Below are 27,190 nucleotides of genomic sequence, written 5' to 3'. Positions count from 1 at the left end.
CAGGCCTTCCAGTGCCTTAAGCCCTCAGCAATTTCAGGCGTGTCTTTGTGGCCAGGGGTATCGCTGGAGCAACACTGGGACATTCATTCCCTCATGGACACATCCCTACAGGTCAAGGTATATTATCCAAATGATACCCTCCAACACGTCACAGGCTTTCCCCTGTGTCACCCCAATAATTGAGAGGAAAAACTGGAAAGTATTTCGCAACCCTAAGCTGTTAGACAATTGCAAAACTTCCATGTAAAGTGTGCCATCTGCATGCATCTGAGACCTGGGAGGCCCTCCCTGCTCCCTCCGCACCCTGCCCTGCCACATCACCAGGGGAAGGTACATCTCGCCAGGATGATTCTGTCCTGGCCCCTGACTCACCTGACCACAGCCCTGCACCTCTCCATGAACCATGGGAAATAATTTAAGAGTTTGGGTCTAGGGAGTGCCGATCAATCCGTCCTTGGTGGGCTGCAGAACACGTGAGGTAGGGCCAGCAGCTGGCAGGGCAGAGGTCAGACAGGATCTGGGTGGGGCTCACAGACAGGCTCTGTCGCAGAGACCCCTGCCCCCACAAACACATCCCTGTCCCAGTTGAGAACCAGGAGGATACTACAAAGTCTAAGGTGGGAGGATTGCTTGCTTAAGGCCAGGAGTTTGAGACCAGCCTGGGCAACATAGCAAGACCCCATCTCTATGAAAATTAGAATATTAGCTGGGCATGGTGGCTCGCACCTCTACAGGTACTCTGCACCTCTTCCCAGCTACTCTGGAGGCCGAGGTGGGAAGATGGTTTGAGCCAAGGAGTTCGAGACTGCAGTAAGCTATGATTGTGCTACTGCACTCCAGTTTAGGAGACAGAGCAAGACCCTGTCTCTAAAAAATTAAAAATAAAATAATAATTTTTTAAAAAAGAGGGAGACTTCTTTAAAGGCCAATGGGTGTGGCCTATGGCCCAAGCCTCTAAAGCATTTTTAGGGGATCTGGGGAGAAATACCAGCCATCCCTGATCACTGTCAGAGAGAATTGCCCACTCTGCTATACAGCCTCAGAGCTGGGCCCTTCCTCTACTGGGCAATCTTTGACCAGATTTCATGCCCCGCCAACCACCCAAGCCTGGCTCCTCTCCCAGTTTTTCCAGAATGCTTTTAAAATATCACAAGCTCCAGTTTAGCTGTACTGACCCCCTGCTCAGGCGCCTCCTCCCCAGACAGGCTCTGCCCCTGAAAGGAAAACCACACTACACTCTCAGACTAAGCCCTGACTTCTCAGCGCCCCACTGCCATGCGCCTAACCCGCCCTGCAGCCTTCAGAGGAAGACTGAAGCCTCTCCTAAGGCAGGAAGCAGAAGACAGAATGCTGGGCTCCAGGACCAGAAACTCTACTCCATCTTCCCCTTACCCTGCCCACCCCAAACATCAGTCTCACACCCAACCTCCACCTCCCACCCAATCCCATCTCAGGGTCTGCAGAGCACCCTCCAAAGCATCGCAACACCATAAAGTCTCAAGTGCACTTTCCCATACTCAGAAAAGCTCTGCAGGGCAGGTGACCATCCCTCTTTCACAGATAAGAAAACTGAGGCTCAGAGAGGTTGAGTGCAGAGGATAGAAAGGAGGTTAGTGCAGTGAGTGGCAGAGCAGGGAATGAGCTCAGGTTGCAGGTCCCTGGCTTGGCACTCTCCACTGCCCTATGGCTCCCAGTCCTTGCCAGGGGGGCCCTTCTCTTTGGCCCCCCCCATTTAGGTCTTTGGAAACTGAGGCACACATTATTCTGCTCCCTATACTTGACTTTCAGCACGGCAGTGACTATAAATGGCAGCAGCCCCAGGAAGCTGGAGATTTCCTTCCATCCTGCTTGTGAAGAGCTGTGGCGCTGGGACTGGTGCGGTGGCTCACTCCAGTAGACCCAGCACTTTGAGAGATGGAGGTGGGTGTATTGCATGAGTTCAGGAGTTCAAGACCAACCTGCGCAACATAGTGAGACCTCGTTTCTACTAAAAATAAAAAAAAAATTAGCTGGGTATTATGATGCATGCCTGCAGTCCCAGCTACTCTGGAGGCTGAGGTGGGAGGATTGATGGAGCCCGGGAGTTTGAGGTTGCAGTGAGCCATGATCGCACCACAGCACTCCAGCCTGGGCCACAGAGTGAGACCCTGACTCAAAAAAAAAGCCAACAACAACAAAAAACAAGAGCTGTGGAGGCAGTGGACAGGACCAGAGCAGCTTAGAGTCAAGCCAGGTGCTCTTGAAACTGTACCAGGGGACAGTGCTGGGAGAACACAGCCCCACCCTTGACCGCACACACATCCTACAGTCGGGCGCTGCGCCCGGCAGGTCAGCCTCTGATGGCACGGGCGCCTCCCTGCTCTGAGTCCTGAGGGAAGGCTTGGGCTGCATGGCTGGGCCTCCCAGCCTTCAGAGGCCTAATGGGATGCAAATTGGAATTTGCTCCCCTAATGATGTATTATGCATGGACTTCCTATTAGAGTTCGCTTGAAAACTCATCATCCATCACCCCAGCAGGGACGAGACAGCCTTGGGCCTGTGTCAGCAGTTTCTTATCCTTTGGTGTCTAATGGCAAATTCATCTCCCTTGGCTATGGGGTCCAGGGGACTCCAGAGGTTTGGCACGTGGCCTGAGTGGAGCGGGAAACCACTTTCCAGCATCTTTGAGGTTTCCTGCCCTTGCTGGAAGCGGGCAGGGCCGGAGTGGGAAGAAGGAGACTGGTCTGCACGGTGGGGACCATCTCCAGTGGGTGCTGGACGACTTGACCTCTTGTAAAGGTGCCCTGGAGTGTGGAGATTCTCTGGCGGTAGGAGGGAGAGGTGTGGGCTGGGAGGGAAAAGGGAGTGAGCGCTCGCATCAGGGACGGTCCCAGGACCACGCTGTCTTCCACCCACGGGAGTAGATACAGTCCTGAGTGTTCTCACAGGATCAGGCTGGGGCACGTTTCCTCCCTCCCACACACCTACTTGCACACACACACCCCCACACATCCACATGCAACCCGTGTCTCTGTACTCCTGCACAAACTCACACCTCCCACACAGGTTCACATATGCCCAATCTAAACCCCCACTCACACACAGCACACTCGTCCAGTCACATACACCCTCACTCACATACCTACAATGCACACACATACCCTCCCTCATGTACACTCACACACACCCATATACCCCCACACACAGCACACACAGGTTTAGACACATACGTGCACACTCGCACCCACAGTCACATACATACCACACACACACACCCCTTCACACACTCTCACACACACAGAACACACAGGCCTATACCCACATACACACTCACACCCACACATACCATGCATGTAACACACAACCTCACTCACACTCACATATACACTCACATACACTCATACTCACACTATCATTCTCACACACACACACACACTCACACCCTCACACACGGTCACAAAGTCACACACTATCACACACATACACACACTATCACACACCCTCACCCTCACACATATACACACTCTCACATAAACACACACATACACAATCACACATTCGCACTCAGTCACACGTATACATTGTCACATACACTCACACACATTCACACTACCATTCACACATACAATCACACACACTCTTACATACACTCACACTCATATACACTCATGCATACTATCACACTCACACACTGACACACACATACACGGATACACACTCACACACTCACACTATCACTCACACTCACAAGTACACCCACATATACACACACTATCACACACTCTCACACGCACATATACACTCTCACATGCATTCACAAACACACGACTACACTCACACTATTACACCCTCACACACACATACATACACACACACAATCACATACACTCACACACACCCTCACACAATCACACACACTCTCACACACATACACATACAGTCACATACACACTCTCGCACACACTCATATAGTCACTCTCATACACACACACACTCACACACCAGTGTTGTCTCAGAGACCGCTGCAGAGCGAGCTGCTCCTCATTCATGAGAGGCTGGGAGGAGCTCTCCAGAGTCGCTAGGATACAGACTGTGTGGGCGTTTTTGGAGCAATGATAAAGTTCCTTGTCGATGTGAAGGTGGGAGTCGTGTTCTCTTCCGCAGCATCTTCCCACCATGGAGACGCCGCTGGGCATTCAGGACGAGCAGCCTGACAGGAAGGCTCCCGTAGGCTCTGGAGGTACGATAAACACAGGTCACAGGAGGCTTCAGCCCATGAAGACAGACTGTGGAGAGGGAATCCCATTAGCCACTGCTGACTGAGCACCTGCAGGGGCCAGGGCTGAGCCGGGGAGCCCAGGAGACCCAGACCCATTCCCACGCGAGAACGCCTAACCCAGGGTAGTTTATGACCTGCCACACAAGGGCTTGCAAACCCTAAGTGCTAGTCTGGGTGGTCAGAGGAGGACAACGTCACTGTGGGCTGGATTGATGAGGGAAAGAGGAGAAGGCAAGAGCATTCCAGGTGGAGAGATTGCCATGAACTGAGACTTAAGGTAGGATTATGGAAGTTGTGGAGAGAAGAGCCAACCTTGAAGAATTGGGTATTAAGGGTCTAGTCCCTGGGTTGCACTGAGGTTGGACCTGGTGTTGAACTCACTATTGCCTCATCTGAGGAAGAAGAAAGACCTCCACCTATCCTTCAGCCATGCTTCCACGTTCACCTCTTCCAGGAAGCCACCCAAGATCTCCCCTTCTCAGAGCCCAGCATATCTATTGCCTCTAAGAGTGTAATTTCTCATGATCTCAGATTTAGACCTAGTCAGCCCATAGTTAATGACTTTTTATGATAACTCCCTGATATAAATGGCAGAATCTCTGTCTACCAGGGCAAGTCATTGAAACTACTAGCAGCCTCAGTGAGGTACATGCCATATGTCAACACAGAGTATTAGAAGTGTTCAGAGGAGGATACCTAATGCTAAATGACGAGTTAACGGGTGCAGCACACCAACATGGCACATGTATACATACGTAACAAACCTGCACATTGTGCACATGTACCCTAAAACTTAAATTATAATAATAATAAAATAAAAAATAAAATAAAATAAAAAAAGAAGTGTTCAGAGGAGGAAGAGAAAACACCCAGATAGGACCATGAGGAAAGGCTGCGTGGAGGAGGTGGTGTTCATGATGGGCTGGAAAGGACAGCCTGAATGTATCCCTCACCATTCATTGGCTTACAGCTGGTCTCCCACACTACATTTTATTGATTATGGCTTAGACCTGGTCATCCCTTATAATGCCTGGCACAGACATTACAGAAAAGTAGGAGCCCACATCCAGCCCACTCCCAGTTCTGTGAGTCTCTCATTTCCAGGGAAGGTTGGAATCCTACCCTGGGTAGCCCTGTGGCTGCTGCCTTTACTCTGTAGGTCAGAGTGAGTAACAGAGTGCAATGTAGAACCTAGGAACCAGAACCTCAGAGCTGTTGGTCTTTGTTTTGCTTTTACAGCCAGGAGCTAGAGATTATAAGTGGAAGCACAAAGTTCCAAAGATACTTCAATGAGATGAAAGCAAATCACACATTTAAAAGTGTGCTTTCTAATGCCAGCACTTTGGGAAGCTGAGGCAGGTGGATCACTTGAGCTCAGAAGTTCAAGGCCAACCTGGGCAACATAGGAAGACCCCGTCTCTATTTAAAAAAAAATACAAAAATTAGCCAGGCATGGTGGTGTGCACCTGTAGTCCCAGGTACTTGGGGGGCTGAGGTGGGAGGACTGCTTGAGCCTGGGAGGTTGAGGCTGCATTGAGCCATGTTTGCACCACTTGGTGACAGAGAAAGACCCTGTCTCAAAAAAACAAAAAAGAAAATGTGCTTTGCAAAGAAATGGAATCAACCTAAGTGCTCATCAACAGATGAGTAGATAAAGAAAATGTGGTATATATACACAATGGAATACTATTCAGCCATTAAAAAAAGAACAAAATCATGTCTTATGCAACAACTTGGATGGAACTGAAGGCCATTATCCTAAGTGGAGTAACTCAGGAACGGATAACCAAAATACCTCATGCTCTCACTTATAAGTGGGATCTAAGCTAGGGATATGCGAAGGCATACGCAGTGGTATCATGCATATTGGAGACCCAGAAGCAGAGAGGGGTCGAGGGATTGAAAAATCACCTATCGGCCGGATGCGGTGGCTAATGCTTGTAATCCCAGCACTTTGGGAGCCCGAGGTGGGCGGATCACAAGGTCGGGAGATCGAGACCATCCTGACTAACACGGTGAAACCCCGTCTCTACTAAAAATACAAAAAATTAGCCGGGCGTGGTGGCGGGCACCTGTGGTCCCAGCCACCTGGGAGGCTGAGGCAGGAGAATGGCATGAACCCGGGAGGCGGAGCTTGCAGTGAGCCAAGATCGCGCCACTGCACTCCAGCCTGGGCAACAGAGCAAGACTCCATCTCAAAAAGAAAAAAAAAAAAGAAAGAAAGAAAGAAAATCACCTATCAGTCAGGTACACCGTACACTATTTGGTTGATGGGTGCACTCAAAGCCCAGACTTCACCGCTATACAATTTATCCATGTAACCTAAACCACTTATACCCCTGAAGCTAAAACAAAACAAAATCAGGCCAGGCGCGGTGGCTCATGCCTGTAATCCCAGCATTTTGGGAGTCTGAGGCAGGCTGATCAAGAGGTCAGGAGTTTGAGACCAGCCTGGCCAATATGGTGAAACCCCATCTCTACTAAGAATACAAAAATTAGCCGGGCATGGTGGCATGCACCCGTAATCCCAGCTACTCGGGAGGCTGAGGCAGGAGAATTGCTTGAACCTGGGAGGCGGAGGTTGCAGTGAGCCGAGGTCACTCCATTGCACTCCAGCCTGGGTGACAGAGTGAGACTCTGACTCAAAAAAAAAAAAAATTATGCTCTGAAATAACTTTACAGTGGAGAATCCTAACAATTACTATACCCCAGCCAGGAGACCCAGGTCCACATCAACAGTGACAAGTTATGTTGACAGTATGTAGTCTTGGTATGATGGGCTGAAAATGGCCCTTGATGCCTGCAGTTCTTCTCTCCAAACCCATAACTCCAGTCAAATCATGAGAAACACATCAGACATACTCAACCAATATGCCTCAAAACTGTCAAATTCATCAAAAACAAGGAAAGCCAGAGAAACTGTCACAGCCAAGAGGAGCCTGAGGGGACATGACAACTAAATGTAATATGGGATCCTGCATTCAGAAAAAAAGGACTAAGTAAAAACTAAGGATAGCTGAATAAAATATGGGCTTTAGTTAATAACAGTATATCTACATTGGTTCACTAATTGTAACAAATGTATCTATTCATGTAAGATGTTGATAATAGAGGAAATGGTGCAAGTAGATGGGAACTCTGTAGTGTTTTTGCAATTTTTCTGTAAATCTAAATGGTTCTAAAAGAACATTTTTATTCAAAATAATTGTGCTTTTTTTTTTTTTTTTTAGACGGAGTCTTACTCTGTCACCCAGGCTGGAGTGCAGTGGCACAATCTGGGCTCACTGCAGCCTCTGCTTGCCAGGTTCAAGCAATTCTCCTGCCTCAGCCTCCCAAGTAGGTGGGATTACATGTGTGGGCCACCACGCCCAGCTAATTTTTTTGTATTTTTAGTAGAGACGGGGTTTCACCATGTTGGTCAGGCTGGTCTCAAACTCCTGACCTCAAATGATCCACCCACCTCGGCCTCCCAAAATTCTGGGATTACAGGCATGAGCCACAGTGCCCAGTCTAGTAATTGTGCTTTTAAACAATAAGGGCATTCTGTCAATGTTAGTCATTACAAGGGTTTTTGTTTCGTTTTGTTTTTTTGGTTTTGAGACAGGGTCTCCCTCTGTTGCCCAGGCTGAAGTACAGCGGCGTGATCATAGTTCACTACAGCCTCAAAGTCCTGGGCTCAAGGGATCCTCCCACCTCAGCTTCCTGAGTAGTCAGGACTACAAGAGGGTGGCACCATGCCAAGCTAATTAAAAAAATTTTTTTGTAGGGATGGGGTCTTGCTATGTCACCCAGGCTGGTCTTGAGCTCCTGGCCTCAAGTGATCTTCCCACCTCAGCCTTCAAAAATGCTGGGATTGTTAATGTTAATAATAGACTCCCAATCCAGTGCTCATCCTGTCCCATCACATGGTTGCTGGGCATATTCTATGTGCCCATAGGGTCCTCTTGGCTGTGACAGTCTCTCTGACTTTTCTTGTTTTTAATGACCTTGGCAATTTTGAGGAGTCAGGTATTTTGCAGAACATCCCCCAACTGGGCTTTGTCTGTTCTTCTCAACTTGATTTCAAGTCACTCAGAACCATGATAGGGCCCACAGAGCTGAAACCACTGCTTTTCCCTGGGCAAGTAGGAGCGAGAAGAACCTCTGTTCCCTACGCCATGAGTCTAGGGAAACTGAGGAGCTAGGGCTCAGGGGTAAAGCTGTGCTTTGGGGAAGCATGGAAGGTTTTCAGAAAACAGGCTCAGAAGGACGGGCACGTTCTACAGTCCCAAAGTGGTGGGACTACAGGTGTGAGGCCAGGAGTCCAAGACCAGCCTGGGCAACATAGCAAGACCCTGTGTCTACAACAAATTTATTGATTTATTGATTTTTATTTTTATTTATTTATTTATTTATTTTGAGACGGAGTCTCGCTCTGTCACCCAGGCTGGAGTGCAGTGGCGCCATCTCGGCTCACTGCAAGCTCCGCCTCCCGAGTTCACTCCATTCTCCTGCCTCAGCCTCCTGAGTAGCTGGGACTACAGGCGCCCGCCACCACGCCCGGCTAATATTTTTGTATTTTTAGTAGAGACGGGGTTTCACCATGTTAGACAAGATGGTTTCGATCTCCTGACCTTGTGATCCGCCCACCTCAGCCTCCCAAAGTGCTGGGATTACAGACGTGAGCCACCGCGCCAGGCATGGTTTTTATTTTTGAGACATGGTCTCACTCTGTTGCACAGGCTGGAGTGCAGTGACATGATCTTGGCTCACTGCCAACTCACCCTCCTGGGCTCAAGCCATTCTCATGCTTCCTCAGCTTCTTCAGTAGCTGGGACTACAGGTACATGCCACCATGCCTGGCTAGTTTTTGTATTTTTTGGTAGAGATGGGGTTTCACCATGTTGCCCAGGCTGGTCTTGAACTCCCAGGCTCAAGTGATCCGCCCACCTCAGCCTCCCAAAGTTCTGGAACTGCAGGTGAGAGCCACTGCGACCCGCCTCTACAGCAAATTTAAAAATTAGCCAGGTGTGGTGGCTCGTGGTTGTGGTCCCAGATGCTCTGGAGGCTGAGGCAGAGGGATTCCCTTGAGCCTGGGAGGTCGAGGCTGCAGTGAGCTATGATTGTGCCACTGCGCTCCAGCCTGGGTGACAAAGCGAGACCCCCATCTCCTAAATAAATTAATTAATTAAATAAAAAAAGGTTCTGGTCTCACTGCACCAGGGCTGGGTCCGATGTTTCAGCTTCGCGTCTTGCGGAAGATTTGGCCTCCCACTAAGATGGGTCCAGGAGGGAGGGTCTTAGCTTGGGATTGGATATTCCAGAGGACTAGACTCTTCATGTCTCTCCAGAGCCAACCCGAGGGACGGCCTCCTTCCTCCACAGCCGGCTTCAGTGGGTCCTTGGGGACCGATGGCACTGTGGATGCTGGTGCCTTCAAGAAGTTGCCTTGACAACCCATCCTTCCAGGTGTGGGGGAGAGAGCGAGCGCCTGCATGAGTTCTGAAAAGGACAGGATTCTAGGATGTTGAGCTGCCTCTAAGAGTGTTGTCATCTTGATGGGTACCTTCATTATACAATTTTCTAGGCTCGACCCTCCCTTGCCAGCCCCTCCTCTTAGGACTCAGCCTGGTGAGGGGGCGGCAGCAGCTGCTGGGCACTGGCCTGTGTGGGTTGGACAGAGCTGGCAGGCAAATGCGGCACGCTAAATTCAGGGGACCATTCGAGATGTCTAGACAGGAAGTCAGGCTGAGACAAAAGCAAGGACACTCCCCTCACACTAGAGCCCAGGCAGGCTGTCCCACTGCTTCAGGAGCCCAGAGGATCAGACCTCTGGGGTCTGAGTGCCAGCCCACAGCAGGTCTTTCTTTTTTCACTTTTTAGAGCCAGGATCTCACTGTGTCGCCCAGGCTGGAGTGCAGTGGCACAGTCGTAGCTCATTGCAGCCTTGACCCCCAGGCTCAAGCAATCCACCTGCCTCAGCCTTCCCAGCACCAGGACCACAGGCGTGTACCACCACGCCCAGTAATTTTTAAATTTTTTTGTAGACACAGTGTCTTATTATATTGCCCAGGCTGGTCTTGAACTCCTGGCCTCAAGCAATTCTCCTGCCTCCCAAAGCGCTGGGATTACAGCTGTGAGCCACCTCACCGGCCCCAGGGCAGGTCTTTATGGAAATAAAGGGTATGTTTTGACCCAGCCCCTGTGCAGCAGAGGTGTGCAGGGTGGGGCAGGGAACTGTGGCTGGGTGGCACTCAGGTGAAAGCTGCTCACTATGGCCTTGAAGTTGAGGCTGGGAGAGTAGATCTGGCATCAGTGCTTCAGGCCCTCCTCCCAGAGCCAGCATTGGGCGTGCTCTGAACACCACTTAACATCCAAGTGGGAGTTGGCAGGGAGGGCAGGGCCTCAGGGGTCTAGCTCAGCTTAGCCAGCGTCCAGCACTGGGACCTTGAACAATCAGTCTGTCTCTCTGTGTCCCCATTTGTAGAATGGGGCTAATCCTATCCCTGCCCTACCTGCCTCATGGGTTATTATGAGATACAGATGAAACGCTGTGTGGGAAAGACCTGTGTGAAGTGCTTGGCAGGCATGACTCTAAAGGGTGTTTACACTGTGAAGCTTTGAGGCTGTTGAGATATTCAGTTCCATTGAACTGGGAGACTTTGTTTCTTTTGGCTGTCAATGACTGAGTTGCTTAGATTGGGAAGTCTTACAGGTCATTGAGCCCAACACGCCCATGTGGTCCTTGAGAAAAGCTAGAGCATGTGATGTTGTGACCTCCCTTGTCCCAGAACAAGTCAGTATCTGAGCTGGGGCAACAGCCCAGGGCCCCCAATTCTCTCACAGGGCTCCGTGGCTCATGCCACACGGCTTCCATGTCTGGCAGGGCCGATTCTCCTGGCGCTAAACACCTTCCTCTCGCCTCCCTCACCGAGAACCCAACAGCCATCATTTGCATTTTAGTACACACCCGCTCCCTGCCAGCTTATCATATAACCAAACACCCATGCCAGATTCTAGGATCTTTAAGGAAATACAAAAGAGTGAAAGACACAACAGAAAGATGATAACCAAGTGTTCCTTGGGCGCTCTGCCAGTGTGGATCGGCAGTATGCCTGGAACTCCCGGCTTCAATCTGTTCACCAACCTGTTACTCTCCCTCATCCAAGCTGCTCCTGAAAGCCCGTCTCCTCTGGGAAGTCTTCCCAGATCAACTAAGCGACTGGCAGCTTCTGTGATTTGCCCGGTCTGAACCTCGTACTTCCCTGGATGTCATGCACCCACCTTCCACCCCTGCGGGCACATGGCCTTGTCCCCTCCTCCCAGTTGCTAGGCCCATCCTGGCTCCCCACTTCCCTTCCCGCACCCGACAGCTCCCCAGTCTGCCCCGATTCCGGTCTGGAGCTTGACGTACATTTGATGTTAATACTTTTTCATCTCCTCATGTATTCGCCTCCTGCTTTCATTTGGTGGCAAGTGTCCCCTCTCTTTGCTTTTTCACATCTGTGTGGTTCATCGGAGACATTTGTAACTCAGGGGGTCTCATTATCAAGAAGGGAGAATCTCATGCCTCTGCCCTTTGCTTGGGTCTGATGAGGAGATGGCTGGACTCTCATTTCCAGTGCTTTAAACAAATCCAAATTCCATGTCTCACCAGCTTCAGCTAGCTAACTGGATTCCTGCTTCCCAGAATTCTCTCTATCCATGAGCAACAATTCTATCTTTGATTTTTTTCATCTAAGCTATGAAAGAAATAGAAAAGTCAATTTATTTATTTACTTATTTTTCGTGGCAGAGTCTCGCTCTGTCTCCCAGACTAGAGTGCAGTGGTATGATCACGGCTCACTGCAGCCTCAAACTCCTGGGCTCAAGTGATCCTCCCACCTCAGCCTTCTGAGGAGCTGAGAATACAGGTGCACACCACTACGCCTGGCTAGTTTTTTAATTTTTTGTAGAGATGGGGTCTCGCTCTGTTGCCCAGGCTAGTCTTGAACTGCTGGTCTTGAACTCCTGGTCTTGAACTCCTCAGCTCAAGCAAGCCTCCCCAACTTCAGCTTCCCAAAGTGCTGGGATTACAGGCATGAGCCACCACACCTGGCCCATTTTTCTTCCTCAGACTTTCTACTTACCCTGATCTTTGGTTATCTGAGGTTAGTGTTGTTTAAAAGGGGCCTGCAGAAATGCTACTATTTGTCGAAAAAGGAAGGGGGGTAGAACACACACACACACACACACACGCACACACACACACACATGATATCTACACATAAATATGTACATGCATAGGTATGTATGTTCTTGCTGTCAAGTTTAACTTATCTTGGAATGATATAAGTCTAAATTATCTTCGTAACTATACATTATCTCTGAATGAACACCAACATCTGAAAATATCAGTTGCCTTTGGAGATTTTCATTATATGCCTTTACAGCTTTTAAAACTTAAAAAATAATAAATTATTTGATGTATACGAAGCTTAATTAAAATGAATGTTTATCTTGAGGTATAATAAGAAATACTTCTTCCCCATGGAGCCACCAGCCTCCCATCTTAAGAAATGGAACCTCACCAATGGTGCTGAATCTTCCTGCAGCCCCTCCCTGCTTCCACAGAGGGAAACACTGGCCTCAGTCCTATTTTCATGCTTTCTTGTAGTTTATCACAAATGTATATATTCCTAAGTAATATATCATTTCACTTTACTTGCTTTCAACTTTGTAAAAATGGTATCACACTGTTTGTATCTTACTGTGACTTGCTAGTTGCTCTCACCATAGTTTCTAATATCATCCATGCTGATGCTGGTAACTCTGTCTTACTCTGTTGTCCAGGCTGGAGTGCAATGGCACGATATTGGCTCACTGCAGCCTCCACCTCCTGGGCTCAAGCAATCCTCCTGCCTCAGCCTCCCAAATAGCTGGGACTACAAGCATGCACCATCATGCCCGGCTTTTTTTTTTTTTTTTTGAGATGGAGTCTCACCCTGTTGCCCAGGCTGGAGTGCAGTGGTGTGATCTCGGCTCACTGCAACCTCCACTTCCTGGGTTCAAGCAGTTCTCCTGCCTCAGCCTCCCGAATAGGTGGGATTACAGGCATGTGCCACCATGCCTGGCTAATTTTTTTATTTTTATTAGAGACAGGGTTTCACCATGTTGGCCAGGATGGAATCGAACTCCTGGCCTCAGGTGATCCTCCCGCTTCGGCCTCCCAATGTGCTGGGATTACAGGCATGAGCCACCACGCCCAGCCGGCCAGCTAATTGTTGTATTTTTATTAGAGACAGGGTTTCACTATGTTGCTCAGACTGGTCTCCAACTGCTGAACTCAAGCAATCTGCCCGCCTCTGCCTCCCAAAGTGGTGGGATTACAGGCGTAAGCTACTGCACCTGGCCTGGCAACTTTTATTCATGTATTTTCATTGTTAACTAACATTCCATTGAGTGCATATACCCACTTTCTTGATCCCTTTTCCTGGTGATCCACAATGAGTTCTTTCCCATCTATGTGGCTATGAACATTCATGTATCTGCCTCTTGCTGCACTCATGCAAGAGTTCTCCAGGGTTGGCTCCTGGCAGTGGAACTACTGGGCCAGCGGGTAGACAGACTCCCAGCTTTTGCCAAATGGCTTCCAACGTGGTTGTACCAATCCTCTCAAGCAGCATGAAGGGGTTTTTTTTGTTTATCACTTTCATCAATGCTTGATACGAACAGTCTTTAAATTTTTTGCCAAACCAGTGGGTGTAAAATGGTGCGATCTTAGGAGCTTCATTCACATTTTTTTGGTTACTGCTAACATTGGGAGCATCTTCTTCTGTTTATTGGCCATTTGTGTTTCCTTTTCTATGACCTTTTGAATTCTGAACCATGTAAATATATTACCTGTCCAAAATATTTATTTATTAAAGTGGGCCTGCAATAACTCATTTCTCATATACAAAGGGCCTACCACTTTACACACAAATATCATCTCTGAACAGTGTCACAATAAATAAAACTGCTAACAATACACTGGTGAGTGTTATGAGCTGAACTGCATTCCTCAAACATTCATTTGTGTGGCTGGGTGCGGTGGCTCATGCCTGTAATCCCAGCACTTTGGGAGGCCGAGGCGGGCAGATCACAAGGTCAAGAGATCGAGACCATCCTGGCCAACATGGTGAAACCCCGTCTTTACTAAAAATACAAAAATTAGCTGGGCATGGTGGCACATGCCTGTGGTCTCAGCTACTCAGGAAGCTGAGGCAGGAGAATCCCTTGAACCCAGGAGGCAGAGGTTGCAGTGAGCCGAGATCATGCCACTGCATTCCAGCCTGGACAACAGAGCGAGGCTCCGTCTCAAAAGAAAAAAAAATTATTTGTTTTTTTTTTTGAGATGGATGGAGTCTTGCTCTTTTGCCCAGGCCGGACTGCAGTGGCACTATCTCGGCTCACTGCAAGCTCTGCCTCCCGGGTTCACGCCATTCTCCTGCCTCAGCCTCCTGAGTAGCTGGGACTATAGATGCCCGCCACCGTGCCCGGCTAATTTTTTTTTTTGTATTTTTAGTAGAGACGGGGTTTCACCATGTTAGCCAGGATGGTCTCGATCTCCTGACCTCGTGATCCACCCGCCTTGGCCTCCCAAAGTGCTGGGATTACAGGCATGAGCCACCGAGCCAGGCCAAAAAATTATTTGTTAAAACCTTATCCTCCAATACCTCAGAATGTAACCATATGTGGAGACAAGGTCTTTTAAGGGGTGCCTGAAGTTAAAATGAGGTCTTTAGGGTGGGCCTAATCCAATCGGACTGGTGTCCTTATAAGAAGAGGATGTTAGGACACAGACCAAAGGACAACCATGTGAAGACGCAGGGAGAAGGGTCCCTCTGTAAGCCCAGAGAGAGGCTCAGAAGAACCCACCTCATCAGCACCTTGATCTTGGACTTCCAGCCTCCAGACCCATGAGACAATAAATGTCTATAGTTTTAGCCACCCAGTCTGTGCATTCAGTACAGGGAGCAAACTATGGTGTACATAGCATCTCCACATCCTTATTTCAGCTACTCATTCATCATCAAATATTAGCAGAGCACATCCTCGGTCTAAGGCACTTTTCATTGTTAAATCCTCACTGCAGTGTTTTAAGGCAGGAATAACCACTCCTGTTTATAAAATGAAGAAACTGGCTGGGTGTGGTGGCTCATGTCTATAATCCCAGCACTTTGGGAGGCCAAGGTGGGAGGCTTGCTTGAGCCCAGGAGTTCAAGACCAGCCTGGGCAACACAGTGAGACCCTGTCGCTACAAAAAATTTTAAAACTTGCTGGGCATGGTGGTACATGCCTGTAGTCCCAGGTACTTGGGAGGCTGAGGTGGGAGAACTGCTTCAGCCCAGGAGGCAGAGGAGGCAGAGGAGGCAGTGAGCCAAGATCGCACCACTGCACTCCAGCCTGGGCCACAGAAGGAGACCCTGTCTCAAAAAAATAAATAAAATAAAATGAGGAAACCAAGGCTCACAATATTTAAGTGAGTGCAAAGGAGGATAACCAGGATGACAAAGAAACTGAAATCGCCATATGAAGGGCCAGAGAAAACTCAGGCAGATGTAATCATCTGGTTTACATGAAGAAAGGCTATCATGGGAGACAGCCCTTTATAGCCCTTCTTTATAGCCCTAAGGAATGGAACGATGGTGAATAGGAAGAAACCCCAGGCAGACAAATTTCACCTGAATAGGAAGAAAACCATTGTCATAGTCAGACTGGTCTAAAGACAGGGCAAGGCATTTGGGGAGTAATGAATCATCCCTATAGAAGCTGGACAGCCACTTAATTCGGGGTGGCGTGTATGTGTGTGTGTGGTGAGATTCAAGCTTCAGGTGTGAGGTTGGATGACATGACATCAAAGATCCCTTCCTGTCCCAAGAGTCGATGCTGTTTCTGAGACCAGGTGACAGGTAAGCAGTGGGCCAGAATCTGGACTCTGATTCCCACGTCTCTCCACCACACTGAGCTGCCTTTCAACAGATGAGTGGCTGGACAAATGAACTCCAAGGATGGTAGGGTTCACTCAGCCACCTGGGGACAGGACGCAGTGACAGGGAGTCTATACAGCTTTTGAAATGAGAGAATGAATTCCTCGCCTTTCCCTTTTCAGAAGTCTGGCGCGTGCCTTTTTGGAAGTTTCAGGAGAAGGTAGGCAGCTGGAAGCAGTAGGGAAGGAGCCGTGTTAAGACCGCCAAGCACCAGCTCCCCCATATGTCTCCTCCTTAATTAATCTTCTGCATTAGTTCCAGCTGTAAGATGACTTTTTCCCTCCATTTTACAGATGTGGAAACTGACACTCAAAGAGGCTATGGGGCCAGGGCGTGATAGCAATGTCTGTAATCCCAGCATTTGGGGAGGCCGAGACCAGTGGATCACCTAGGTCAGGAGATCGAGACCAGCCTGGCCAACATGGTGAAACCCCATCTCTACTAACAATACAAAAATTAGCTAGACATAGTGGCGGTCACCTGTAATCCCAGCTACTCAGGAGGCTGAGGCAGGAGAATCACTTGAACCCGGGAGGTGGAGGTTGCAGTGAGAGGAGATTGTGCCACTGCACTCCAGCCTGGGCAACAGACGAGACTCTATCTCAAAAAAAAGAGGCTATGGAACTGTCCAAACTTACAAAGCTAAGTCACAGCAGCGACCTTCACTAAATCACCCAACTTCAGGATGTTTTTTAAAAGAGAAACAGGGCCTCATTCTGTCACCCAGGCTGGAGTGTGGTGGCACAATCACAGCTCACTGCAGCCTCCAACTCCTGGGCTCAAGTAATCCTCCCACCTCGCCTCCCAAGTAGCCAGGACTACACGCATGCACCACCACGCCCACCTAATTTTTAAAAGTTTTGTAGAGTATATTGTCCAAGCTGGTCTTGAACTCCTGGCCTTAAGAGATCCTTCCTCAGCTTCCCAAAATGCTGGGATTATAGGTGAGCCACTGTGACAGGCCTCCATTTTCACATCTTGTTGCCCAATGGCTATCTGAATGCAAACAATTTGTTTTTTATTTCTGTAAATCCAGACTGCTATCCTTCAGTAAAAAGCCCAGGATAAGCAAGTCTTCTCAGAGAGGATTTATATGCCAGGAGGGAATGGGACAGGGGCAACTTCCTTCTTATTCTCTGATTCAGACAATTGACAGGTGAAGTAGAGGCTTCCAACCCTGGATTCCGCCAGATGGCCGCCCTTGGGCTTCTCCCTAATGAAATTCTCCAGGAAGAGAACTAGTGCTTCCTTCTCCCCGCGAATGCGGTCCTCTCTTCCTTCCTTCAGTGAACACTTTTATTCCAGAAGACAGTAATGCTCCCTTCTAGCAGAATCTCAGCAGAGAAGGGTGACTGCACTGGCTACAGCAGAGAGGACTGAATGGGCCTGTTTCAAGCTGAATGATCTATTCAGCCTTCATTGATCTGCAAACTGGCTGAGAGCCCTATGAGCTGGCCAGGAACATGGCATCGGAGCAGGGAGTGCTCTGTGCTCGTGTGTGTGTGTGTGTGTGTGTGTTGTGGAGGGAGGGGTGTGCATGCATCCAAGGCAAAGTATAACTCCTATTTTAGTCTGAGCCCCACCCTCGTTGGTTAGGACACGTAAACATGGGGCGGGCAGTGGTTCTCCCAGACAGTAACAAGGCTGAGGGGGAGGATCAGGATCATTGTTTTTCCCTTGGAGCTGGAAGGCTAGACGTATCCACTCCCCAATTCAGCTGGTTCTGCCAGAGAGAGGAAGCTGGGAAGGTTCCAGAACAGGAAGGAACTTCTTCACTCTATCAGCTTTTCTTTGACTTCTGGGGGCTTCAAAGGCCTTCCTCCTCCTACAGAGGTCAGAACGCAGTACCTTCCCATTGCAATCCTGTCCCAGAACTAAAGAATGGGACATCTTTAAGCTCTGGGTCCATAGGGCTGAGCTTTCCTCTCTCCTTTCAAATTTGGCCTCAAGAATTTCTTTCTCCGCAGTCCAGTTCCACCCTCTCCTGCACCCCTGACTTATCTGCCATATTATTCCTGCCATCCAACCTTCAGAGAACTCAGAATAGAGCACACTCCATTGTTACAGATAACCCACCAAAGGGGTGGAGAGTTACAGAACAAAGAGAAGAAACAGTAGTTTCCCTCAGAAAGTTTAATTTAGATCAGGTTAGCACAAGGCTAAGCCACTTCAATACAAAATTTATGAGCCAGTGCCTGGCACAAAGCACATGTCTTGCGGGTCAGACCTGGGGACTGCTGCTGGGGATGACTTTCATGCCTGCGTTTTAGGAATGACCTCGCAGAGGAGGCCAGCAATCCGCTGTCACGAAGACGAGTGCCAGGCTGCCATCAGGTTTACAAGGGGAGCCGTGGTGTGCCCGGCATGGGACGCTGTGCCCACTAAGCGCAGGAGCAAATGCAGAGAGCCAGTGGCAGCTGGGTAGAAGGGAGGGACTGATGCTTTAATACCAGACACAGGGAGAGGAGATTGCACAGAGGGAGATCATCCCACTACCAGGGACCAGGTAGTGTTCGTCACATTCCACAGGTCCAGTGGCACAAAATCCCCAGAATGGGGAACACAATGAAAATAGACACAGCCAGGCAGAGGCTGCTTACCTGCGGAGTGACCTTGGATGACACTTCAAGCTGGTTGGGCCTCAGTTTTCTCACCTAGGTGAGGAAGGAGTTGGATTTGATCAGTGATTTCCTGAATTTTGGACCAGTCCAATTAACTAAAAGTTTGGGGGACTAACTTTTCATGCTGCCAAAAAAGAATATTTTAAAAATATCACCATCACTATCAGTTTTAAAAAGAAAGCACATTTTGATACTAAAAAAGTAGATGAGGCTGGGCGCAGTGGCTCACGCCTGTAATTCCAGCACTTTGGGAGGCTGAGGTGGGCAGATCACAAGGTCAGGAGTTTGAGATCAGCCTGAGCCAACATGGTGAAACCCCGTCTATACTAAAAATACAAAAATTAGCCAGGTGTGGTGGCATGTGCCTGTAATCTCAGCTACTCAAGAGGCTGAGGCAGGAGAATTGCTTGAACCCAGAAGGCAGAGGTTGCAGTGAGCAGAGATCGTGCTACTACACTCCAGCCTGGGCAACAGAGTGAGACTCCGTCTCAAAAAAAAAAGTAGATAAGACATCATCTTAGAATACTAAGGAGAGGCCTTTAAAGAAATTCAGCTATATGGAAAACTCCACTACATGATCGTACTTGTCTCATTTCATCAAAGACTCTTGAAAGCTTCATTATGGAGGGAAACGGATTCAAGCATTGGGGAACTAATAGATGATTCCAGAGGAGCTTCCTAGCTCCAAAGATTTCAAGATTTGAATCACACCTGAGCAAATCACCTAATCACCCTTTGAACTTCTATACAATGAGGGTGGCTCAATGAGAGAATATAGATAGGGACTGGGTATTTCCCCAAGGCTGCAGCATAGTAATAACCCTCAGAGAATGGTGACTGATGTACTCTCTGCAGGTGATCCCTGACACCTGGAATGAAAGTTATCATTCCTCTTGTTTAGCTGTTCCAATTTTTCCTGTGTTCTGAGGTGCCCAAGAAGCTTCCTCTAGGGATTTCCTGTAGCTTTGAAGGTCTGAGCAGGGTGCTACAGGCAGAAAGCTGGGAGATACCCCCCACTTCTTGCACTGGAGGCAATAAATCACACTGGGGAGGAACCGCACCTCACCCTTGCAGCGCTCGTAGGTAAATGTCTTTCAATGGGCCGACACGGTGGCTCATGCCTGTAATCCCAGCACTTTGGGAGGCCGAGGGTGGGGGTGGATCACTTGAGGTCAGGAGTTCCAGACCAGCCTGACCAACATGGCGATACCCTATCTCTACTAAAAATACAAAAATTAGCCAGGCATAGTGGCGTGCACATGTAGTCCCAGTTACACGGGAGGCTGAGGTGGGAGAATCACTTGAACCCAGGAGGCAGAGGTTGCAGTGAGCTGAAGATCTTGCCACTGCACTCCAGCCTGGGCAACAGAGTGAGACTCCGTCTCAAAACAATGTCTTTCAATGAACGTAGGTGAGATGTCACTTCTATACTCTGAGGTCCAGAGACTCTGTGCTCTACACAGATGAAAGAAGCTGTGTGTGCAGTTTTAATAGAACCCACCCCAGGCTATGGGCTCCCAGAATTTCACAACAGATCAGCCAGGAGGGAAGGGAGGTATTCTTCCCTAGAGCTGTCATTGTGGTGACAGAAACAATCGAGGGAGCAGCTCCCCACCCAGCCCCAGGATCTGGGTCCAGCAGACCTGGAGAGTCTGCCCTGGCTGCACAGACCGTGGTGGGACTGTCTGGCGGAACTGTTGTCTGGAGACAATGCAGCCCATGTGACAGGCCTTAATGAGTCCCTTCTGGAATCCCACAATGGCCAAGTGGCACAGGCTCTCTGAATAGGTTGCTGTTTTTCAGCAGTGGCAGGGGCTGTGTTGTGGCAACCTCCTCTCTTATTCAACCTCCGGCATCTCTCTTCTTTTCCTTTCTTTCTTACCTTTGTCTTTTATCTACTTTAACTCTCCTGTTCCCTTTTGATCTCTTCCTTCTCCTCCACCCTCCTGATTTCTGTTGTTTCTTAGACACAAAATCGCCCTTCACTCCTGCCCTGTGGTTGCCCCATTCCTGGATCACAGAGCTGATCAGTTGCTGCAGCATGTACCCCCTCTCCTTTCCGGGGACTGCTTTTATTTATTTATTTATTTTTTGAGACAGAGTCTCACTCTGTTGCCAGGCTGGAGTGCAATGGCGCAATCTCGGCTCACTGCAACACTGCAACCTCCACCTCCCGGGTTCACGCCATTCTCCTGCCTCAGCCTCCCAAGTAGCTGGGACTACAGGCACCCACCACCACGCCCGGCTAAATTTTTGTATTTTTAGTAGAGACAGGGTTTCACCGTGTTAGCCAGGATAGTTTTGATCTCCTGACCTCGTGATCCACCCGCCTTGGCCTCCCAAAGTGCTGGGATTACAGGCGTGAGCCATAATGCCCGGCCCCTAATTTTTGTATTTTTAGTAGAGATGGGGTTTTGCCATGCTGGCCAGGCTGGTTTCAAACTCCTGACCTCAAGTGATCCACCCACCTCGGCCTCCCAAAGTGCTGGAACACAGAGGAGTGAGCCACGGCGCCCGCCCTGGAGGCTGTATTTAAATCCTGCTTTCCCTGCTGCTGGGAGTGTGGAAGAGTCAGCGCATCTCTGTGATTGAAAGGAAAAGCCACTGTGATATAAGTTAGTTGTGTGTGCTGCCATGCCATGCCCCCATTTTAAAGTTCTCTAAGCACTAGCAGGATGGCTTCTTTTTCTCTGCCACTATGGAGAATTGCAAAGTTCTGATCTAGAAACTGCGCAGTTGGGTATGTTTGCCTTCCTGCTCTTCCTTCCTGGATTGGCAGTGACAGGGGCCATGGGCAGCAGAGGCTGAACCAATCATGGGCACTGGGGGCCCCTCCCAGCCCAGGCCACACTTTAGGGCGTCTCCTGGGTGCCTTCCCTACAGCCTGGCTGGCTGGCTTCAGCTGTCAATCAGTCTGTAAGAAGCCCCACTGCTGGGGAGGGTCCCCTCTGCCACTGCAGGCTTTCCTTCACCATCCATCCCTCAGCCTGCACTCTCCACCCCCACCCGACCTCTTCAGAACCAGAGCTGTGGAAAAATCAGTCTTGATGAATGGAGATTACGGGGCTCTGTGTGTTACAAAATGTGGTCAGGAAATGCTGAGGGTCTTCCTGAGCTCACTAGTGGATTCCCTAGAGAAGGATAATGCAATTGAAGAGGAATTGAAAGGAGCTTTCCAAAGAGAAAGAAGAAAGACAGCAGTTTCTGTCCAGGAGGGGAGAAGTGGCAGAGGGCAGAAGCCAGGGCCAGAGCACTGCAGCCACTCCATCAATCTGCAGCTTTCCATCACTTCAGCCCTGGCAGTGACGCCGAGGGGAAGGGAAATCTGAAGCCAGAGAGCAAGAGGACAGAGAGCACAAGAGATTGCCAAGGAAGTTATTGAGGAAAGGGATTTGAGAATCACCAATGTGTTTCAGGCTCCTGGATTGCTCGCCCTTCTTTCTCTGCCTCAATCACGTTTTCTTTGACATCTGTCCTTATGAAATCCAGGTGCAGGATGAAATGTTGAGTGAGGATGGAACAAAGGAAGACCACTGATGAGAATAAGGAAGGCAAAGGGGGCAGGACCTCCCCACACCTCTTTTTATTTTTTAAGAGACAGGGTCTTGCTGTGTCTCCCAGGCTGAAGTGCAGTGGTGTGATCATAGCGTGCTGCAGCTTTGACCTCCTGGGCTCAAGGGATCCTCTTGCCTCAGCCTCCCAAGTTGCTGGGACTACAGTCACAAACCACCATGCCCAGCTAATTTTTAAATTTTTTCTAGAGACATGGTCTCCAACTCCTGGCCTCAAGCAATCCTCCCACCTCGGCCTCCCAAAGCACTGGGATCACAGGTGTGAATCACTGTGCCTGGCCCCCACCTCTTTAGACCCAAACTGGCATCAATCTAGGTGGCAGCTTCAGAATGGCTTTGTGGAGAGGTGAGCCTGGTACCACCCCCAAATGTCTGAGCAATAAACCAGAGGGTAGTTCAGGCCTTCTTGCCCATCGGTGACTCCTGGTACCGTGCACAGCAGCTCAGGTAAAGGTGGTCCACATCTAATGAGCACCTATTACCAACCCAGCTAAAAAGCCCTGAGCTTTACATTCTCATAACTCTACAAATCCACTTCACAGTTGAGAAAATTGAGGTGCAGAGAGGCTGCTAAATTTGCCAAAGTGACAAAAGAAAAAATTTGTACATTGGACAGACCGATGCTTACCCAGCTCCTAGGAGAATATTGGAAAGTCAGTGAAGCAAAATGCTAAGGAGGGCTGCAGTTATTCTGCATATTTGATCAAGGATAGAGATAGTCTCATTTAGATCCTCTGAAGGGCTTTAGAATTTAAATAAAAGGCTACCTGAAGCAGAAACAGGAAGAGGAAGGTAGGAAGGGTGTGTAACTGCTCCCCAGTCCCAGGACAAAGCCCCCTTAGCCAGGACCAGGGGGACCGACCACATCTTTGTCTGGACAAAGTTGTGTGGGCATTTATTGTCCCAATGTGTGCTCCAACGATCCTCTACCTGTCATCAACCCTCTGTTTTTGCTGCCACCAACACATGATAATCTAATCTGGAAGTTAAAAAAAAAAAAAAAAAAAAAGGAATGGAGTATCTGTAGAAACAAACATCATCAAATGTCCTGGCTCCCTTCCCAGGGCTTCAATAAAAATGCAGGAAGGAAGAAGCCACAGAGCGGAGTCCACATCAGCAAGTCCTTCCTGAGTCTCCATTAAGTACTCAGGAGAGGACTGTGCAGCTTCAGTGCGGATTGCCAGGTGCTGTCCCGGAGGGGACCCTCCTGGTGGAGGAACAGGCTTAAGGATGAACAGGGGACAGAGATGTGTTGAGTATTTGTATTCCTGGATTGTTCTCTTTTCTGTGCCCCCATATTCAACATTTTGACATAACAAACTTTCTTCCTGGCCAGGCACAATGGCTCATGCCTGTAATCCCAGCAATTTGCGAGGCCGAGGCAGGTGGATCACCTGAGATCAGGAGTTTGAGACCAGCCTGGCCAACATGGTGAAACCCTGTCTCTACTAAAAATACAAAAAATTAGCCGGGCGTGGTGGTGGGCACCTGTAATCCCAGCTACTCAGGAGGCTGAGGCAGGAGAATCACTTGAACCTGGGAGGTGGAGGTTGCAGTGAGCCAAGATTGCATCACTGCACTCCAGCCTGGGCGACTGAGCGAGACTCTGTCCCCACCCCCCCAAAAAAACAAACTTTCTTCCTGATTGTTATAATAATGTTCACTGCACTTAAAAACTTGGTTTTGAATTATCGTATGAAGTACAGCTCTAATTTAGGCAACTAGTGACCTGCGTTCTGCTCGGGAAGCTGGGAGGCAGGGACAGGGGATCTTTCATAGACGTAAGGAACACAATAGCCAAACAAAGTTTATGGTGAGAAACCTGACAGCGAAGTCAGAGACAAAACCATTTCTTTTTTTCTTTTACTTTCTTTTTCTTTTCTTTCTTTCTTTTTTTTTTTTTTTTTGGACATAGGGTCTCACTGTGTTGCCCAAGCCAGTCTCCCACTCCTGGGCTCAAGTGATCCACCCCACTTGGCCTCTCAAAGTGCTGGGATTACAGGCGTGAGCCACCATGCCCGATCAAAATCGTTTCTTTAATCAGAAGACTACCTACCCCTTGCTCCTCTACTAAAAATTCTGAAAGGCCGGGCAAGGTGGCTCATGCCTGTAATCTCAGCACTTTGGGAGGCCGAGGTGGGCAGATCACGAGGTCAAGAGATGGAGAACATCCTGGCCAACATGGTGAAACCCCATCTCTACTAAAAATACAAAAATTAGCTGGGCATGATGGTGTGTGCCTGTAGTCCCAGCTACTGGGGAGGCTGAGGCATGAGAGTCGCTTGAACCTGGGAGACAGAGGCTACAGTGAGCCAAGATCGCACCACTGCACTCCATCCTGGTGACAGAGTGAGACTCCATCTCAAAAAAAAAAAAAATTATGAAAGACAGAAGGAGGTGGAACTATAGGCGGGCAGAAGGCGTGCTAAAAGATACAAATGAAAAATAAACTTGAAACATACCTAGCAGAAAGCACACTTGATTTGAAAGATTCTATCTCAGTTTTCTGTGGACCTATTCATAACACAGAAACATGGTTTCTTAAAATACAGTTTCTGCACTGGTGGGTTGAGTCTCCTCAAAAATGCCTTCCATATTTTCACTGGCCCCTGCTTTGGCATGAACTCATAATTCCTGAACACCACCTCCAAGTGGGCTGGCAGAACTGGAACCGGCAGGGTGGTTCTGAAACCTAGGGACACCCCTAGTGACACTGAGATTTGGGCACACAGGTGTCAGATTTCAGCTCTTCTTTTTTTCTATCATCCCACCCCCTCCCTCAACACACACACAGACATACACACACACACACTTCACAAGATCCTATGAAGTAAAACAGTTTTAGAAAAATGGCACTGGTGTTGATTCAAGCAGATTACTAACAAGTTCTCTCTAAAAACACACACTCAAACTGTTACAATTCTGTTTGGTGTGGTTTAAACTTTTTTCTAATAATTGAATTTTTAAAGAAAGAGGGGTTTTAAATTCCCTTCTGTTAATCAAGAACAGCCTCTTTTCCCACATGGACTGGCTGGCCATGAAGGCTCTGGAGTCAGCCTATCTGCATTGATAGGTTTGCTTCCTTACATAATGACTTGGGGAATTATGTAGCCTCAGTTTTCTCACCTGTGAATTGGGAGCTAACAATAGCATCTGTGAGGTTGAAATGGGATAACTCCTATAAAACCATTTACCATAGTACCTGCTCATAGTAAGCATTCATTAATAGTAGCTATCATGACTTCAAAATAAAACATACCACCAAAAAGCCTTATGTAGAGAGATAAAATCTAACACTGTGATATTTATTTATTTATTTATTTATTTACTGAGACAGGATCTCCCTGTGTTACCCAGGCTAGAGTACAGTGGCATGAACATGGCTCACTGCAGGCTTGATCCTCCTGGGCTCCACTAATCTGCAGCCTCTCAAAGTGCTGAGATTACAGGCCACCATGCCTGGTCCACTATTTGTATTTTCTATACAGGCATACCTTGGAGATATTGTGCGTTCGACTACAGTCTACCACAATAAAGCTAATATTGCAATAAGGTGAGTCGCATGAATGTTTTGGTTTCCCAGTGCATATAAAAGTTACGTTTGACCGAGTGCGGTGGTTCATGCCTGTAATCCTAACATTTTGGGAGGCCTAGGCGGGTCAATCACCTGAGGTCAGGAGTTCAAGACTAGCCTGGCCAACATGGTGAAACCCTGCCTCTACTAAAAATACAAACATTAGCCAGGCATGGTAGCGCGTGCCTGTAGACCCAGCTACTCCGGACGCTGAGGCAGGAGACTCGCTTGAACCCAGGAGGTAGAGGTTGCAGTGAGCCAAGACTGCACCTGCATTCCAGCCTGGGAGACAGAGCAAGACTCCCTTTTAAAAAAAAAAAAAAAAGTTATATCCACACTATACTGCAGTCCATTAAGTGTACAATAACATCATGTCTAAAAAAAGTCCATACCTTAATTTAAAAATACTTTATTGCCAAAAAATTGCTAACAATCATCAGTGCCCTCAGTAAGCTGTAATCGTTTTGCTAGTGGAGGGCCTTACCTCAATGTTGATGGCTGCTGACTGATTAGGGTGGTTGGTTGCTAAAGGTTTGGGTGACTGTGGCAATTTCTTAAAATAACACAACAGTGAAGTTTGCCACATCAATTGACTATCCCTTTCACAAAAGACTTGTCTGTAGCATGTGATACTGTTTGACAGCATTTTATCCATGGCAGAACTTGTTTCAAAATTGGATTAGATCTTCTCAAACTCTGCTGCTGCTTTATCAATTAAGTTTATGGGATATTCTAAATCTTTTGCTGTCATTTCAACAGTGCTCACGGTATCTTCACGAAGGGTGGATTCCATCTTAAGAAACTACTCTCGGCCAGGTGCTGTGGCTCATGCCTGTAATCTCAGCACTTTGGGAGGCCAAGGAGGGTGGATCACCTGAGGTCAGGAGTTTGATACCAACCTGGCCAACATGGTGAAACCTTGTCTCTACTAAAAATATAAAAATTAGCCAGGTGTGGTGGCACACACCTGTAGTCCCACCTACTCGGGAGGCTAAGGTAGAAGAATTGCTTGAACCCAAGAGGCAGAGGTTGCAGTGAGCCAAAATAGTGCCACTTCACTCCAGCCTGGGCAAAAGAGGGAAACTCCGACCCTGTCTCTACTAAAAATACAAAAATTAGCTTGGCGTGGTGGTACATGCCTGTGATCCCAGCTACTCGGGAGGCTAAGGTATGAG

The 27,190-nt window shown here is 48.5% G+C and overlaps 16 annotated features.

Moving 5' to 3' along the window:
- Positions 1,463-2,252: an enhancer, noted in NCBI's record as "OCT4-H3K4me1 hESC enhancer chr8:38361767-38362556 (GRCh37/hg19 assembly coordinates)". NCBI's record gives its function as "activates a minimal SCP1, AML or CMV promoter by ChIP-STARR-seq in primed H9 embryonic stem cells {active_cell/tissue: H9 hESC(primed)}" and the evidence as "EXISTENCE:reporter gene assay evidence [ECO:0000049][PMID:30033119]".
- Positions 2,253-3,043: an enhancer, noted in NCBI's record as "OCT4-H3K4me1 hESC enhancer chr8:38360976-38361766 (GRCh37/hg19 assembly coordinates)". NCBI's record gives its function as "activates a minimal SCP1, AML or CMV promoter by ChIP-STARR-seq in primed H9 embryonic stem cells {active_cell/tissue: H9 hESC(primed)}" and the evidence as "EXISTENCE:reporter gene assay evidence [ECO:0000049][PMID:30033119]".
- Positions 3,063-3,917: an enhancer, noted in NCBI's record as "OCT4-H3K4me1 hESC enhancer chr8:38360102-38360956 (GRCh37/hg19 assembly coordinates)". NCBI's record gives its function as "activates a minimal SCP1, AML or CMV promoter by ChIP-STARR-seq in primed H9 embryonic stem cells {active_cell/tissue: H9 hESC(primed)}" and the evidence as "EXISTENCE:reporter gene assay evidence [ECO:0000049][PMID:30033119]".
- Positions 3,918-4,773: an enhancer, noted in NCBI's record as "OCT4-H3K4me1 hESC enhancer chr8:38359246-38360101 (GRCh37/hg19 assembly coordinates)". NCBI's record gives its function as "activates a minimal SCP1, AML or CMV promoter by ChIP-STARR-seq in primed H9 embryonic stem cells {active_cell/tissue: H9 hESC(primed)}" and the evidence as "EXISTENCE:reporter gene assay evidence [ECO:0000049][PMID:30033119]".
- Positions 9,286-9,854: an enhancer, noted in NCBI's record as "H3K4me1 hESC enhancer chr8:38354165-38354733 (GRCh37/hg19 assembly coordinates)". NCBI's record gives its function as "activates a minimal SCP1, AML or CMV promoter by ChIP-STARR-seq in primed H9 embryonic stem cells {active_cell/tissue: H9 hESC(primed)}" and the evidence as "EXISTENCE:reporter gene assay evidence [ECO:0000049][PMID:30033119]".
- Positions 9,855-10,422: an enhancer, noted in NCBI's record as "H3K4me1 hESC enhancer chr8:38353597-38354164 (GRCh37/hg19 assembly coordinates)". NCBI's record gives its function as "activates a minimal SCP1, AML or CMV promoter by ChIP-STARR-seq in primed H9 embryonic stem cells {active_cell/tissue: H9 hESC(primed)}" and the evidence as "EXISTENCE:reporter gene assay evidence [ECO:0000049][PMID:30033119]".
- Positions 10,423-10,991: an enhancer, noted in NCBI's record as "OCT4-H3K4me1 hESC enhancer chr8:38353028-38353596 (GRCh37/hg19 assembly coordinates)". NCBI's record gives its function as "activates a minimal SCP1, AML or CMV promoter by ChIP-STARR-seq in primed H9 embryonic stem cells {active_cell/tissue: H9 hESC(primed)}" and the evidence as "EXISTENCE:reporter gene assay evidence [ECO:0000049][PMID:30033119]".
- Positions 10,423-11,090: a biological region, named in NCBI's record as "Sharpr-MPRA regulatory region 7766".
- Positions 10,796-11,090: a silencer, noted in NCBI's record as "tiled region #7766; HepG2 Repressive non-DNase unmatched - State 22:ReprW, and K562 Repressive non-DNase unmatched - State 21:Repr". NCBI's record gives its function as "represses a minimal TATA promoter and a strong SV40 promoter by Sharpr-MPRA in HepG2 and K562 cells {active_cell/tissue: HepG2 | K562}" and the evidence as "EXISTENCE:reporter gene assay evidence [ECO:0000049][PMID:27701403]".
- Positions 15,364-15,865: an enhancer, noted in NCBI's record as "OCT4 hESC enhancer chr8:38348154-38348655 (GRCh37/hg19 assembly coordinates)". NCBI's record gives its function as "activates a minimal SCP1, AML or CMV promoter by ChIP-STARR-seq in primed H9 embryonic stem cells {active_cell/tissue: H9 hESC(primed)}" and the evidence as "EXISTENCE:reporter gene assay evidence [ECO:0000049][PMID:30033119]".
- Positions 16,019-16,520: an enhancer, noted in NCBI's record as "OCT4 hESC enhancer chr8:38347499-38348000 (GRCh37/hg19 assembly coordinates)". NCBI's record gives its function as "activates a minimal SCP1, AML or CMV promoter by ChIP-STARR-seq in primed H9 embryonic stem cells {active_cell/tissue: H9 hESC(primed)}" and the evidence as "EXISTENCE:reporter gene assay evidence [ECO:0000049][PMID:30033119]".
- Positions 17,528-18,029: an enhancer, noted in NCBI's record as "OCT4 hESC enhancer chr8:38345990-38346491 (GRCh37/hg19 assembly coordinates)". NCBI's record gives its function as "activates a minimal SCP1, AML or CMV promoter by ChIP-STARR-seq in primed H9 embryonic stem cells {active_cell/tissue: H9 hESC(primed)}" and the evidence as "EXISTENCE:reporter gene assay evidence [ECO:0000049][PMID:30033119]".
- Positions 19,795-20,296: an enhancer, noted in NCBI's record as "OCT4 hESC enhancer chr8:38343723-38344224 (GRCh37/hg19 assembly coordinates)". NCBI's record gives its function as "activates a minimal SCP1, AML or CMV promoter by ChIP-STARR-seq in primed H9 embryonic stem cells {active_cell/tissue: H9 hESC(primed)}" and the evidence as "EXISTENCE:reporter gene assay evidence [ECO:0000049][PMID:30033119]".
- Positions 20,680-21,327: an enhancer, noted in NCBI's record as "OCT4-H3K4me1 hESC enhancer chr8:38342692-38343339 (GRCh37/hg19 assembly coordinates)". NCBI's record gives its function as "activates a minimal SCP1, AML or CMV promoter by ChIP-STARR-seq in primed H9 embryonic stem cells {active_cell/tissue: H9 hESC(primed)}" and the evidence as "EXISTENCE:reporter gene assay evidence [ECO:0000049][PMID:30033119]".
- Positions 21,328-21,976: an enhancer, noted in NCBI's record as "H3K4me1 hESC enhancer chr8:38342043-38342691 (GRCh37/hg19 assembly coordinates)". NCBI's record gives its function as "activates a minimal SCP1, AML or CMV promoter by ChIP-STARR-seq in primed H9 embryonic stem cells {active_cell/tissue: H9 hESC(primed)}" and the evidence as "EXISTENCE:reporter gene assay evidence [ECO:0000049][PMID:30033119]".
- Positions 25,633-26,134: an enhancer, noted in NCBI's record as "OCT4 hESC enhancer chr8:38337885-38338386 (GRCh37/hg19 assembly coordinates)". NCBI's record gives its function as "activates a minimal SCP1, AML or CMV promoter by ChIP-STARR-seq in primed H9 embryonic stem cells {active_cell/tissue: H9 hESC(primed)}" and the evidence as "EXISTENCE:reporter gene assay evidence [ECO:0000049][PMID:30033119]".

This window comes from Homo sapiens, chromosome 8, assembly GCF_000001405.40.
Source record: "Homo sapiens chromosome 8, GRCh38.p14 Primary Assembly".
NCBI classification, from domain to species: domain Eukaryota; kingdom Metazoa; phylum Chordata; class Mammalia; order Primates; family Hominidae; genus Homo; species Homo sapiens.
Note: the sequence above shows the minus strand (reverse complement) of the source record. Positions and strands in the feature narration are given on the sequence as shown.